Raw genomic sequence first — 15918 nt, forward strand, 5'->3', positions numbered from 1 at the left:
GGACAGAACCACACTAATTTTTGTACATTTATAATGCATTTAAAAATTGGTAGAGAAAACCCCTCTCATTATTCTTGCTTGCAAGATTTTTTTTTTCTGGATGTTCTTACAAATTTATTCTAATGAAAAATTCTAAAAGAATTTGGTCAAAACACCAATTACATGGGTTAAAAAATATCCCAACCCATTTCGTAATTTCTTTTGGATAGAGAACTGGTATCTTTATACCACTGAGTCTTCTCATCCAGACATATGTATTCCTCCACATTTATTAAAGTCTTATTTAATGCCCCACAAGAGAGTACTGGCATTTTCTTCAAAGAGGTCCTGTACATTTCGTCTTCAGTTTATGCCTATGCATTTTACATTCTCTGTAGCTATCATGAATGGGATTGTCTGTCCATTATATTTCCTAAATGGTTATTGTTTATTACAGGGATGGTGGGGTCAGGGTGGCCTAGCAGGAGGCACAAAGCCAGCTCAGGAACTGGGGCATCTGTGGGGCCTGCTGCCACAGGGAACATGCTTGGATGCTCTGCAAGCTTTGCCATGTCTGCTATCCCAGTTTTCTTCTCGTTAGCAGCTTCTTCCTCCCTTGTGACTTGTTTGAAGTAAACTCTTCAAGAGAGTGACTCACCTCCCAGTTCTTACTGAAAATACTCTCTGGAAATAGGCCTCTGAGACCAAGAGTTAGACTTTGAAGGTGTGAGTGCAGAGGAAATCTCAAGATGCATTAGAATTCTCTTCTCTGAAAAAGTCAAAATATTATTTAAGCCCCCACCCCTCTTTCCCCCTTTCTTGGGCTCCAGCACATACAGAGATGGCTGAGCTCCCAGAAAGCTGCTTCCAATTAGTCTAGGACTTTTAGGAGCCATTTCTCTGCCTCTTTCTGAAAAGGGAGGCTGTTTGAGACCACCCTAGAGAGGAAACCTGGCAGACGCCTCTCTCAGGAGTGTGAACACAACAGGTTTCTTCCTTCTCCTCTCACCTCCTAAAGTGCCTCTGAGAGCTAGGTCAGGTGAGAGAGAACAGGACATTTTAAAAAATACAAAACTCCTAAAAGGGCCCTGCATAAAGATTTCAGGAACATAGATGTATGTGGAGGCTCTGTGGGAGTGTAATTTAGGAAAGATGCTGGTGACACATCTACAACATCACCACAAATAACAACAGCACCACAAATAAAATGACACCAAGCATTTACTAAAAGATGACTCCGAGGTGGATCCCATTTTTTCCATGCTTGACCTTGGCCAATATCCCACCCTTCCAAAGCTCTACCTGTCTCCTCTCCCAACATGAGTGGCTTAATTTAATTAGTCCTATTTCTTTTCTTTCTTTTTTTTTTTGTACTTTTAGTAGAGACGGGGTTTCACCATGTTGACCAGGCTGATCTCGAACTCCTGACCTCATGATCTGCCCACCTCAGCCTCCCAAAGTGCTGGGATTACAGGCATGAGCCACCGCGTCCGGCCTGATTGCCCTATTTCTAAGAAGGTGCCCTAAAGACAGGACAAGCCCTCCCCTGCCCACTGGTGCCTGTGCTTCCGGTATCCAGCAGGAAACTGACCCAGCAGGACCTGATCCTGGCAGGACTCCCCAGGCCTCTGCTCTTTAAGTTGCAGCTTTTCCACCCTGCCTGTATGGGTACCTGCCCCTCCCCAAGCCTGTGCCCATGCCTGCACCAGAAGTAGGCAGTAGAGAACCTGTCCTGGGGAGTCCAGGAGGCAGGGACCTCATGTGACCCAAGCCTCCAAGCCCTGACACATGCTCCACTGTTCCATAACATTTTATTACAAAACACACATTCAAAGATAAAATTATGAACAATTTTAAGACAGCAACGGCTGAGCATTATACCCTGAAGGTGGGCTCCTCCTGAGTGTGGGGCCTGAGCAACTGCACTGGAGCCAGGATGCTGATTTGGATCCTCAGTTAATACTTTTCCTCTGTTTTAGATGATTGGAAATTTGGGTGAGGAAGACAAAGGAATAATCACCCCCACCCTCCAAGAGCGCCCAACAATTCTATAAACTAGGTACTTGTATCACCTCTAATCTTCAGCTTTTTGGGGGAAGTGTTGTTATTGTCACTGTACAAAGGAGGAAACAGGCTTAGAGATTTAAATAATTTGTTAAGGCCATAAGGCTGTCAAGTGGCAGAACTAAAATTTAATCCAGTTTCTTCAGGCTCTTGTGCTGTTTCTACTCTATTATAATGTTTCCTCCAAAATAGCAAATATTTGAAGCCACCCAGTTTTTAGACAGGCCTTGCTGTGTGCCCAGCTTGGTGGAGAAGATGCAGGTACTGCCCCTGAGGAGTCCGGATTTACAGCTGCAGTATCTTTGGTTTCCAGGTTTTATGTAACATGTACAGCTGAATATGTCAAGAGATTGTACTGTCAATGTCTTCCTGTCCGTGCCCACATTTGTTCCAGGTAGCCGGGTTCCTGCCCACTGCTCACAGGACCAGCTTTGTCTCAGGACACAGAGGCTCTATTGGCCAGTGGAGCTATAAAGACATGAAGTCCTTCTATCAAGGAAGCCAGAAGCATGAATGAGTGACCTCCATTTTTGTGGTACAGAAACCAAGTCTTGCAGAAAAAGTGGAACAGACAAATACAGGGAAACCAAGAAAGAGCTGAACAGAGGAAATGCCTTTTAAGTCTTCTAAAGGTAAGTCTTCATTTTACTTGAGTGCTATGACTGAGTTTCTAATCCTAGTGACCAGGCAATTCCTGTCTCGGCCATACCTATGGCCCAACCAAAGTTCTGAGGGGTCAGGGAGCCTCTTAATTCAGAATCAAACTTTATGACAGAACAAAACAATAGGCTTTTGAACTTTTACACAGCCTCTGCTAAATGCTACTAGAGATAGATGAATAGACATGCATGAAGTTTACTATGTGCCTGCCAGATATTTAAACCTTGTTATTTAATCCTCACAAAACTCCCTCATGATTGTCCTATTACTATTGTTCCATAGGAGAGAAAACAGTCAAAAGGGCTCATTAACAGAGAAGCAGTCAAGCAAAGCAATAAAGTGGATGGGCTTAGAATAGAGTTCTAGGTTTCAATCTTGGCCCACCGCCCTTACGTTTATGACTTTGCTTGTTTTTAAACTTCTTACAAATGACAGTTTCCTTATCTATAAAATGGGGAAAATAATATCAGCTACCTAATAGGGAGTGGTGTCAATTAGATGAGTAAAGTACAAATGCAGCTGGTGAACATTCAATAAATCTTAGTTCTTTTTTTTTTAAAATTTTTTTTTTTTTGAGACGGAGTCTCACTCTGTCATGCAGGCTGGAGTGCAGTGGCACCATCTCGGCTCACTACAACCTCCGCCTCCTGTGTTCAAGCAATTCTCTTGCCTCAGCCTCAGTAGCTGGGATTACAGGCACCAGTCACCACGCCTGGCTAATTTTTTTTGTATTTTTAGTAAAGATGGGGTTTTGCCATGTTGGCCAGGCTGGTCTTTAACTCCTGACCTCAAGTGATCTGCCGGCCTTGATCTCCCAAAGTGCTGGGATTACAGACGTGAGCCACCACACCTGGCCAATAAATGTTAGTTTGAATAAAGCTTGAAGTGGCACAGATGGCTTCACACCATGTCCTCCTGGTTTCAAAGACCTCTCTTTCCAATCAGCATCAGCTTTTGAAGGGATAAGACAGATTCCACAACCACTCCAACAAGAGGTATTTTACAAGGAGGGTGCAAGGCAATTTAGCTAAGTATGTTGTTACTTGCGCTGTAAATCTGAAAGCTAACAACACATTTATGTATCTCCTGGGTCTGACTCAGGTTATAGGATGTTTTACATTGAGAAACCACAGGGAAAGGAAGAAAGAAATCAATGAAATCAGCTTTACTCTGATTCTTCCTAAACCTTTCAGGCTCAAAGAGGGAATCTGAAACAAGTGGACCCTGGAGAAATAGTGCACCTAAGTCAGACCCCTGGCCCTTGAGATGCTAAAAAGTACAATTCCAAGAACCACAGTTTTAGAAGTCTGATAATGCCCATTACATCTATAAGCATATTTTTATGTAATTGTAAGGTGCTCATACATGATCCATCATGTATTAATCCTAAACAAGTTACTTGGCTTGAGCTTCATTTTCCTCAACTTTGAATAACACAGCACTTCCTACCTAAGGTTGCTATGAAGATAACCAAAAATGAATGTAAATTCATTTTCTTTTTTAAATTTTTATTATTTTTGAGATGGAGTTTCACTCTTGTCGTCCAGGCTGGAGTGCAATGGCACAATCTTAGCTCACTGCAACCTCCGCCTCCTGGGTTCAAGCAATTCTCCTGCCTTAGCCTCCCAAGGAGCTGGGATTATAGGCGCCTGCCACCACACCTGGCTAATTCTTGTATTTTTAGTAGAGACAGGGTTTTACCATGTGTAAATTCATTTTCTAAGTTGTAAAGTTGGAGATAAAAAGGTTTTAATATTAAAAGCTTCTTAAAAACACTAGCTGAAGTATCCAAAATTTTGTTTAGGAGCTCAGTTTGAAAAAATGTAGAATATAAATGTGGAATCCAGACCTGGGCTCCATTTCCAGCTCTCCACCGGACTCAGGATAGTTATAACCAATGTCCAGGCTTCCACTGGGAAAATGGAACTTCCCATTTAATTAGGAAATGAGGTATTAAAGGACTTAAATAGTAACATATTATTTTGCTTTAAAACTTCTATCTTTAACCTTAGGAACCTCAGTATTTTTCATGGCTGAGGAAGCCTATGAATGAGTCTCTATCTATAAAAGGCTCAATTTCTGGTCTCAAATTTTCTATCAAAAGTGGCCTTCTTAAATCACAGCCTAGGTTCACAAAAACTTCATTTTCCAGAACTACTGCTTTTAGTATAGCCTAGTCTTCCTCTCACTTCGCATAGATACATCCTCCAAGATAACAAAACTGTTATTTCCAAAGGTTTTATTTTATATATTGTTTGAAGCTTTCTCAGGCTTTGCACTAAATGCATGTCAGGTGCATATTCAATCTCTTTCAAAGGAAACATGGCAGTTGAGTATCCAGAACACAAGTGAGTACCGTATACTTTAAAAGAATGCTTACAGAGCTCTCCTCTTCGGCCATGAGAAAAAAAAACAAGTACCTGCAGAAGTGAGCGATACCCAATGCTCTCCCAGACACACGCCTGGGGTGCTTACTGTCAATGACACTCCTCCACACCAACATGTGGTCCAAAATAGAATCCCTCTCATCTTCCATTACACTCTTTTAAAAAATGCAGAGAAAATATGAATTAACTCATCTTAAATGTGAGAGAAACAGGGGGAAAAGGACAAGTTAATGCACAAGCACAATACACAATGGTAATTTTTCTTTTCAAAAGATATTATGGAATGTATTACTAGCAGCATAAATTCCAACAAAAAGTTGGGCACCCAGATTTGGTTATTTAGATTAAAAATATTTATTACAGGCAGATTTGCTTTTCCCAGGAAAACATATCACTGGAAACATTTGGAGAATGCAAACTGGGTTAAACCTATTCCCAAGTCCATTATCAAGTAAGGTATCACTAAAGAAAAAGATAGGAGTTTAAAACTGGGGAAGCCCACACACAATTTAGACAGGGGAAAAGAAAAAAAAAACTCATAAAAAAAGTCAGAATGATCCTTTACGTTTTACAGTCTTTAATTAAGCACATAAAACTGTACTATTTAATATATTTCTCCATGAACTTTTTGTGAAATTCAGATCGCAGTGTGTCATTTACAAATCTTTTGTCTTTCTTCTGGTCATCTACACCTTTTGCACAGTTCTTGAAGACAACGTCATCATCCCACCTGAGGAAAAAAAAGCAAACAGAACGTCTGAAAATGTTTGTATCAGGAGACAAGAATACTACATGCACTGCAAGGCTTAGTCAGTTACACAGAAAGATGCTCAACATGTGTATCATCTGATGCAGCAATTACACTCAAAAGAATAATGTCATCCTTAATATATAATCTTGCTTTCTTATAGCAAGAATGGCAATTCCTACTTAGAACATTAAAACATTCTTATTATTTCTCCAGTAAAAGAAACTTTTGAGTTAAAAAATAGAAATATATAGATTTTAATTGCATAAATATTTAATGTTTTTAGGTCTAATAGAAAGAAGCAGCACCGAGGACTACCCTAATATTAGTGTAGGCATCTGTACATGATAGTAGCCAATCAATTTAATGTAGTTTATGTGGTTTTGGGGATTGTAGATATTCCTCTTTTATCAGTTAATGTTTAGTAATCATCTACTGTAATATCCACATTATAGGCCAACAAAAGGAGAAGGAATCATTGGGGTATAATAATTAAGGCTCAGATATGGCCCACATATACATTAACCAAGGAGAAGTACCAGCTGAAGAGCTCAGAGCAGAACTCTGGTTGGATTCCATAATGTATAAGCACGAAAAAAAAACACCCATAAATAAGTTATAAAATACATGTGTTATAGAAAATAAAGAGCATGATTTCAGAATATCACCTAGCATATAAAACACAGGCCCATATACATAATATTGATACCCTCACAAATATATATATAACACAAGCCCATATGTGTGTGTTTATGTGTGCATGCGCTTACACGTCAGGAGAAACTGCACATGGGAACAAATGTGGGAAAGTGCACAATGAGCAACAAACGTGGGCACCTTTGGAAAACAGTGCAGTAAAGTCATCACTGATGCAGTACACAGAAGCATAACAAGCTGAGCAGATCAATATGACTGGGATATAAGACATGTTTCTATCTCCAATTCCATTTACATTCAAAAAAGGCAAAAGAACAAACTATATAGCTTTATTTTTGTATATAATCAGTACAGTTTTTTCTGTATCCAGTCTTTCCTCAACTCCAAACAGGCTTTTTGTCCCTCCTTCCCAACACCAAAATGCTCTTTCCTGACATTAGTATTTGTCCTCGATGATCACTCCTCTCCTCCTGAAACACTTTGTTTCACTTCTTTCAGTTCTCCTCCCTTCCCAACTGGCTGCTCCTTGTTAGCCTAGACTTTTTCATTCAAAATTAACTCAATCAATATTTATCAGGCACTTGTATAATGTTTAGAGGCTGGCTAGATGATTAGAACAGGTACTGGTAACTAATAATCTACCTAACCTCTAAACATACCAAGCTCAGTTCTGACTTCTCCTCTCTAGCTATACCCTTCCCTAGGTGACTTCATCCTGTCTTATGGCTTTAAAAAGTTTATCTGAGCTGATAACTTCCAAATCTACTATCTCCAGCTTGGACTAATTCCCGAACTGTATCAGGAGTACTGCATCACTCCAGAGGGGAGAGCAGTCAGCAGTACTGCATCACTCCAGAGGGGAAAGCGGTCAGCAGTACTACATCACTCCAAAGGGGAGGGCAGGTAGCAGTAATGCATCACTCCAGAGGGGAAAGCATTCAGCAGTACTGCATCACTCCAGAGAGGAGGGCAGGTAGCAGTACTGCATCACTCCAGAAGGGAAAGCAGTCAGCAGTACTGCATCACTCCAGATGGCAGATAACAGCAGTAGAGGTGGTGAAAAATAACGAATATGGTTTAAAAATTAAGCACTGTGGTTCCTTGACGAATGCATATAAAATAACAACCAATCTTCCTCCCTCAGCATTTCCTGTAAGCTTTTCTGTTTTATTTTATATATCACCATCTGAAGGATTTACAGTATTTACAACTTATATTTTCTCCCTTTTCAGCCCTCCTTTTTTACCCCTCCAAACACACACACACTGTACAGAATTTAAAAAGCAGGCCTAGTACTACAATCCTTAGAAATGCCTGCTTGCAAGGCTGGCCCCTGGCTGGCATTTGAAAATTTGGATCTAAGAAATCTTCTGTCACTGTGCCTATAATTTACAAATAATGTGGTTTACACTGAACACCTACTATCCTTTTAGGAGTCTGGACTTTGGTATGTGCTAAGCAAAAGCTGCGTACATGACTAGCCACTCCCAGTAAAAACCTTGGGCGCGGGATCTTTAATGGGCTTCCCTGGGCAGAAGCACTGCACACGTTGCTGCACTGTCCTTGCTGGGGGAAACAATGTGCTGTGTGACCACTCATGGAAGGGACAGAGCATAGTGACACCTGCACATGGATTCCTCTATTCTCTGTGTGTGTCTTTTCCCTTTATAATCTAGCTGTGTGTCTTTATTACCTTAGCCAAGCATATTAACTATACACCAAGTCCCCTGAGTTCTTCTAGTGAGTGTCTGAATGTGAGAGGCCATCTTGAGGACCCTTGATATGCACACCTAAAATGTAAGGGCCTCAGTTTATTACTCTGTCCCTAGTGCTTACATCATTATCTAGTACACAGCTGGTTATTGCAACTATCTATTGAAAATAAGTTTATTTTCTTTCATTTGGCTTCTTCCATTATTCCTAATTGAACAGAGAAGAGTATCAGTGAATGGACGGTGGACTTTTAGAAGCTTTTTACAATGCACCTTGCTATCCAACTTATAATCTGCATGCCTGTGTGTATACACATACACATATACACACACACACACACACACACACACACACACACACACACACTCCATTACTCCGTTACTGTATAGTACCTTCTTTTAACTTTGAAGTTGGCCTGAGGCTGGGATGGGCCAGTGAGATTAAGGAGAGGGTTTCCGCTCAGAATGTTTTCCATACGAATCCTCTCTTCTTCAGCTTTTTGTTCTTGTTCCTGTCAATGATAAAGGAAGATTAACACTTACTTATTTTAACTCTGGGTTCAATTTTTTTTATATTAGCTCACTGAAAAAAAAAACAAAACTGATCATTAGGATTTTATGGCAACAAAAGCATCAAGGCAGGCTTTTTTTTTTTTTTTTTGGTTTTTGAGGCATACTAGAAAAGTCTCCCTCATCAAAATAAAATAATTTAGCATTTTTATTATAAATATTTCATGGTTGATATCATACAGTAATTAGTCTCTTCCAACTGTGAAATGCTACAGATCCATATTTAAATCTATTTTCTTTCTTGAAGTACATGTCAAATTAATTGCTTTAAATTTTAAGCATATATCAATAAGCATATTCTAATAATTTAAGAACATATTGAATATCAAAAAGACACATTTAGCAAAACTATTACCTTCATTTTAAAGGGTCATACCTAACTGTGATTAATTTTAATCTTATTTTGAATTACTAATAATGTAAACTTGTGTCTCTAGGTTTGGTGACAAGTTATGAATGAAGAAGTAACTCCTAAAATAGGACAAACTACCATATACAAAATTATATCCAGTTAACATGAATTTCTACTAATTTACCTGAGGTTGATCTATTTTGTTTTTATTGTCTTACTGAGTTTTTCTTTTTTTTTTTTTTGAGACGGAGTCTCACTGTTGCCCAGGCTGGAGTGCAATGGCATGATCTCAGCTCACTGCAACCTCCACCTCCCAGGTTCAAGTGATTCTCCTGCCTCAGCCTCTGGCACGTGCCATCATGCCCGGCTAATTTTTGTATTTTTAGTAGAGACGTCATTTCACCATGTTGGCCAGGCTGGTCTCGAACTCCTGACCTCGTGATCCGTTCACCTCGGCCTCCCAAAGTGCTGAGATTACAGGCGTGAGCCACCGTGCCCGGCCTCAGTTTCTATTTTTATACCTCCCATCCTTTATCAGTTACAACACTGTCTTTCTTCACTTTTATTTTAGCATCAACTTCTTCAAAGTCAAATCACCCTGAGTTTCCTTCTCAGAATGTGGAATATAAAATGTCTAAAATCCTTAGCTATCACTTCTAGATCTACCTGTTAACATGTTATCTTAAGCCAAATATAAATCCCATTTTGCTGTGTTTTGGGGATAACAGAAATTGATGACTTAATAGATCAAGGAAAAACAGATGGTGTGGAAGTCATTTAAAAAAAGTTATTATTTTAATAATCTAATTTTTCATACAGGTTACTGATACTTCATTTCAATATTCAAATGTAAACAATGAATTTCATTTTTATGAAGAAAAATAAAAATCAAAATGGGAGGTGAAAAGATCTAACTTGTAAGGAAATAGGAAAATTCCTTTATGTCACTGGTCAGAACTTAAATCAGGAACTATACATCACAGAACAGGTGGCTTTCTAAAAGCTATATATTTATTTGTAACAAATTATACCGATGCTTAAAGGGAAAAGATATTTCTCTGAAATACTAGAAAAATAGGAGCTTAAGTATACCATATATCCAAACTTATAATGTGTATGACATATAAAGGTTATGGACATTTTATGTTTGGAATATTATTTCCTTTGGGGTTACTGAATGATTGCCACACAGAGCACTAGGAAAAAAGGCATAAACTCTTTCTATATTCAAACAGCAGGCATACTATGTTTCATAATATAGGCTAGTCATCAGATGGCATGTAGGTCAAATCCTAACTAACTGTTTTTGTAAATATTTTATTGAAACATTGCCACACTTGTTCACTTATGTACTCTGTGGGTGTTTTTATGTTATAACAGTGGAGGTGAGTAGGTGTGATAGAGGCTCCATGACCAGCCAGCCTAAAATATTTACTACCTGGCCCTTTACAGAAAGGGTGCTGACCCCTGACAAGGGCTAAATGGTTTGAAAATCTTAAATTTGGAACATGGCAAAAACCAGCCAATAGAAAGGGAAACAGGGATAAAAGAAACTATCATTCAACCGCAAGAAATATCAACACATTTTAATACAGATATTAGATGAAACTCACAAAACTGCAAGGCCTTCTGTCTAAAATGTTTATCCTCCCTCAAGGTCAACCAAAAGCATTTAAATTGCTCATCTCTATGTGTCCAGAACTATTAGGCAAGCTAAAAAAATTTGGAACAATTGCCCTCTAGTGGTATGCAAGTGGGACTGGGAATGTTTTTATAATTCTTTGACTTTTAAAAACTAGATGTAAAAACTATAAGCTATTACAGGAATTATGCTCTCTTATACAAAACTTTGATGAGAATTGTATTTTGAAATGCTTTTCTTCTTCCAATCTGAATTCTAAGTCTTCAAAGTCTATCCCAAATTCTACCTGTTTTCTGAATTCTTCCCTGGCCCTCCTGATTCACATGAAGTCTACTTCCCTAGATTCCTGGTATTGACCATGCAGTATATTTTCTTACTTTCTTTTTTAAAAACAGAACAATTCTTGCCTCAAATAAAATTTTACACAGAAATCTATGAAAAAGCTGTGCTGCTCTGGTTGAAAACAGGGGCAGACAACCCTACCTGAATGTCTCACAATGTGTCAAATTTAACATGTTCAAAACAGAACTCATCAACTACCTCTTCTCTCTGCCTAAATATGGCAATTCTTTTGCATTCCCTGTATTGATGGCACCAACATTTACCTAGAAAGTGAGGGTCCTCTCTGCTGCTACAATCAATCAGTCACTATCTGTCAACTCAACCTCCTTTTTTATTTTTTCCTGCTCCCCTTCCCACTTTGACCTCCTTGATAATCAGCTTTATCAGCATCTAATTACTTACCTCAATTCCAACTCCTATCATACAAGCTAAGAGTCTCTTAATTGGGAGGATTACTGGAACAGCCTCCTAACTCAGTTTTTTTCCAATCCATCCTCCATATTTTGCCAGAGTAATCTTTCTAAAATGCGTATCCAGTTTTATCAATCTCCTGCTGAAATCAACCAGCTCTTCATGTCCTTTAGAAAAAATCTAGACTCCTTCAGTATTGTTTTGCAAACCTCTAATGCTCTGACTTGCACTTGCCTCCTCAGTTTCACCTCTTATTATCACTCTGGGTAATTTATTCAGAATTTTAACTATCTTTGAGTTTTATATTTTTTCCTCATATTGTGTAAACAGAGAGACTGTGGGGGCTCAGAGAAGTTAGGTAGCTTGACCTAGGTTATATAATATCTACTGACTGATTGCCTTAATAGTACCTAGGCAGTAGACAAGCAGAGAGATAATCTTTGTAGACCACAACTATATCTTGATCATCTTTGATTCTCCTGTCAATTAACAGATATCGACTAAATGTTGAACAAATGAATAAACAAGTAAATGACTAGCAAGCCTGTGAATATTACTCAGTGCATCTGAACTATTTGGAAAGAATTTCTTACATAACCAGGATACCTAGGATGTCATAAAAATAATCATTTATAGATCTACAAGTGCTATAATATTTAGACACGGTAAAGGAGATTTCTAATATAAGAAGATATTACTTATATTCAAAAAAATTTCTACCTTAGTGTATGTGAGAAGATAGATGTAAATATTTAATACTTTGGTTTTACCTTCCTGGCCTGCTCTTCAGCTCTTTCTTTTTTAATTTTTTCCAGTTCTGCAAGAAGAGCTGCAGTATCATCATCATCACTTTCTTCTTCAAAATCTTCATCTTCCTCCTAAAAGAACAGTGAGAGCCCAGAAGATTGGAGGGAAAATACACACTACCAAAACACAGTACATATGTACAACGTATCACCCTAAGAAAGTCAAAACAATTTTATGTAGCTCAAAACAACTTTAAGCTAGCAGCAAAGATACTCAAAAGTGCAAAAAAGTGTGCTAAATTCTCAGAAGAAAATAATTTCAAATGAATAATCATTAAATTTCAGTTGAAATTAGGTTTCCTGTTTTAACTATTATGAGTAACTCCATCAATTAACTCTAGAATTAACTGCTGATATGTATACATAGTTAGATATTACTCATTGGATGCCACTCAGGTTTTTCACTGTCCTGTATGTAGAAAACTGCAAATTGATTATAGGCTCTAGGGTCCCACAGAATTTTAACATTAACTGATGTGCTAATCCTTAAAAACCTTCTGCTTAGATTACTTCCCTCCCTAAGCACAGAGGGAACCATTAAGTGTATTGCACTTATAGAAGGGGACATATCTAATATGGAAAGGCCTCCAGGTACAACTCTAGAGGGCACTGTTTATAGGAAGCCCAGTATGAAGAGTGCCCTGGAGAGGTGTGTAACACAGCAGTAGTGCAGTAGTTTAGTACAGGACATTATTTTGGGGGAAAGCATATCCTTTTATAGATTCCTTCCATATTTGGTTCTCTAGAGATCAAACTTGTTCTTAAAGTCCCACAAAATAATACTTTTGATTTTAAAATCAACTATAAAGTTTAGCACTGAGGTCAGGGCTATATTTGAATAACAGTAACTAAACATAAATATATGTCACTTCTTAAAGCAAAGACATAACAAGTATTTTAGAATAGCATGGTAAATCAATTATTAGAGATGAAAGGAGGAAACAAAACATACATCTGTTAGAGGGTCATCTGCATCAAGGTTGGCGGCAGGAATCTGGTCTAACCGTGGCTTTTTTGACACTGAAGAGGAGGTTGTATGTTCTGGGGGGAAACAAAAATCATTTAACTTAGTAAAACAAATACTTCATTTCTTAAAATGTTTTAGGGACCTGTGAGCACAAGGAGCCCACATTAAAAGCATTATCCACAGTGAACTCACATCCACAGTGCCTGGGCAAATAAGCCTTTGGTAAATATTTGTTGTTATTATCTCTAATGACCTAAGAAAGTAGTACAGCTCACATCAATCTGTAAAAGTAAACAAATGGTTAACATTTTCCAATTGCTACATAAAGAAAAACTATCAACAACATAATTTTATGAGACAAATGTCTTGGATAGTGTTGGTACCTCGGGTTGGACGATCCCTATTTTTCTCTCTTGCAGCAGCTCTCTCTCTTTCTTCCAACTCTCTCCTGAAGTCACGGTTACGAACCTCTTCAGGGGCATCCTGAGTAGTCTGTCTAAAGTAGAAACAAACCAGGGCAAAAATGTTACTTAAACACACACACACACACACACAGAGACTGTAGTAATGGAAGACAATTCAGGAATGAGACTTTGTCCTTCAAGCAGAAAAAAGGGAAGTAGACAAGATCATAATTTAATCTGAAGGTTACTAACAGCCACTCTTGTGATGTTCCCAATATTTCAAGAAGTCCAAATTCAATCACATATTTTCCTATAATAAGGCTTTACAGTGATTAAAATGTCTTTAATTTTTATTAGGATTATATCAACTCAGAACTTAACAGTAATACTTTTAATATACTGACTGGTGCTCATAGTGCATACTCTGAGGCATTATTATTTCTATTATTTATTGTTCTATCTACATATGAAAATTCCTGGTTAGTAGGAATTTCACATTTTAAAATCACAGCAGAATTTTAGTGTTAAACATCCTATTGCATTCTATTCCTATGAAAATAGATAAGTGACATAACTCAAACATACTACTATATCATGACCATGCCATTTAACAGATCTGGTCTTGTTTTGTGAACAATAAAAAAAGAAAGTCTTACTACCTGTATTTTATCTTTGTATGAGAGGGTAGGTCTCTGCTTGAATACTGCTTTGAAAGTTGGCTCAAATCACCTTCTCCTTTTCCCCTTCCACCTCTGGCAGGTTCAAAGGTTGGCCTGGCTGCTGTTGTCATCTTTTATGCTTTGAAGAAAAATATAATCAAGTTATTTCCAACATTACAAACACTCATTTTATAGAGTATTAATCAATATCCATACTGGTAAAATAAGTTCTAAAACTCATTCCCCAAAACCTGCTTAATCTTCTTAAACAAAAGTTTTCAAGAAAACAAATTATGAGGCTTAGGCTGTACAAGGAATATGGCTTCTCAGGCTTGCCTTAGTACAAAAAATTCTGTCATGAAGATCTGAGTTTGCATCCCTATTCTCCTTCTGACTATATGGGCTTGAGCAAGTCACCTGGCTTAACTTTGTCATCTGTGGAATGGAGATATTCCTCATAGATTATAAGAATTATGACACTTGACATGTCAAAACCCTAGTAAAATACAGTACTGCCATGACTGAGTTTTAAAAATTTCCAACTCAACCTTACTCTACCAGACTCTGTAAGGTTTGCATTTTATCTAAACTTCACACAATAGCAAATAGGCTAGTAGAAACAAAAGCTAAAAACAAACAAAAAATATCACTGACAAAGTTACTAAATGTCCCAGAGAAAAGTGTGTTAAACTTCAATGACAGTTACACAGAAAAAAATTCTTAAACAACCGTTTGTTGAGCCAATTTTCTCCTACAACAGGCATCATACTATAAATTAGATCGTTTGTGGGTTATAATTTAAGGCCTGTTCAAAAAAAACAGGAACCTCACCCCCAGAGGATTCTGATGCCAAAAATCAGGGACTCATTCCTCAAGTTACTTTCTGCTTGGAGCAGTCACAAGAATACTGTGCAGCAGATGCAGTCACTAAAACCCTGTTAGTGTCGGAAAAGCAAGTGTGTGGGGAGGGTGGGCGAATTGGGAGGATTTTTTGGGGGGGGGGCGATGCTAATTCTCTCAACTTTCAAAAAGGGTAGAGACATGTATACAAAGAAGAAAACAGGGTTATCTGGCGCTGGGGGCGCCGCCCCTTCCCACACACCCACGGAATTATCACTCCGGCCTCCCGTGAGCTAGTCTTTGGCTATAACCAGAAACTCGCTGCCTCTTCACCCGTGCCCAGCACTGCAGGGGTGCGAAGGGTAGTGAAGGGAGGACCTGGGGTTCGCTTTACGCAGTAGGCGAGCTGCCTGTACGCTGCGATCTCCTCGGCGGGCCCAAGAGCTCCAGACGCGCCTGACAGGCACTCGGTTCCGCCCCTAGCCCGCTGCTCCAGGGCCTCCACCGCCCGCGCTCTGCACTCTGCCGCCGACTCCGACCCCAACTGCCCTTTCCCGTCCCATCGCGATAAGAAAGATAATCTCCTATCCTCTTGCCGCTCACACTGGCCGAGGTCCGATGCAGCAGGCTCCGAAGATCATACAGACGCCATTACCACTCTTGGCTCCCAGAAACCTCTGCGCCCAGAGCTAGCGCCTACGACCCGGAAGCAAAATCC

General features: G+C 38.9%; 1 protein-coding gene across 3 annotated transcripts, besides 2 other annotated features; it reads right to left on the reverse strand.

Moving 5' to 3' along the window:
* Positions 1-4925: 4925 nt before the first annotated feature.
* Positions 4926-15862, reverse strand: CWC15 (CWC15 spliceosome associated protein). Of its 3 annotated transcripts, none has more exons than NM_016403.4 (7): positions 15804-15862; positions 14361-14499; positions 13681-13793; positions 13283-13371; positions 12295-12402; positions 8601-8719; positions 4926-5820 (listed from the first exon to the last, which is right to left on the reverse strand). In NM_016403.4, the coding sequence occupies exons 2-7, from the start codon at positions 14489-14491 to the stop codon at positions 5691-5693; spliced, it is 690 nt and encodes a 229-aa protein (NP_057487.2). In that variant the 5' UTR covers positions 14492-14499; positions 15804-15862; the 3' UTR covers positions 4926-5690. The 3 variants fall into 3 exon arrangements, with proteins under 3 accessions (NP_057487.2, NP_001350301.1, NP_001350300.1); NM_001363372.2 differs by having other exon boundaries at positions 15611-15862; NM_001363371.2 differs by having other exon boundaries at positions 15579-15862.
* Positions 15139-15914: an enhancer, noted in NCBI's record as "H3K27ac hESC enhancer chr11:94705997-94706772 (GRCh37/hg19 assembly coordinates)". NCBI's record gives its function as "activates a minimal SCP1, AML or CMV promoter by ChIP-STARR-seq in naive H9 embryonic stem cells {active_cell/tissue: H9 hESC(naive)}" and the evidence as "EXISTENCE:reporter gene assay evidence [ECO:0000049][PMID:30033119]".
* Positions 15629-15798: an enhancer, noted in NCBI's record as "active region_5406". NCBI's record gives its function as "activates an Ori minimal core promoter by ATAC-STARR-seq in GM12878 lymphoblastoid cells {active_cell/tissue: GM12878}" and the evidence as "EXISTENCE:reporter gene assay evidence [ECO:0000049][PMID:35858748]".

This window comes from Homo sapiens, chromosome 11 (assembly GCF_000001405.40).
Source record: "Homo sapiens chromosome 11, GRCh38.p14 Primary Assembly".
NCBI lineage: Eukaryota > Metazoa > Chordata > Mammalia > Primates > Hominidae > Homo > Homo sapiens.

What these genes read in the sequence shown, in the direction of transcription:
- CWC15 (NM_016403.4), bottom strand. Translation starts at nt 14,491, where the DNA reads ATGACAACAGCAGCCAGGCCAACCTTTGAACCTGCCAGAGGTGGAAGG. An exon ending in TAGGGATCGTCCAACCCGAG is followed by an intron (nt 13,372 to 13,680) that starts GTACCAACACTA and finishes GTTTCCCCCCAG; the next exon opens with AACATACAACCTCCTCTTCA. An exon ending in CTGAAGAGCAGGCCAGGAAG is followed by an intron (nt 8,720 to 12,294) that starts GTAAAACCAAAG and finishes TATCATTGACAG; the next exon opens with GAACAAGAACAAAAAGCTGA.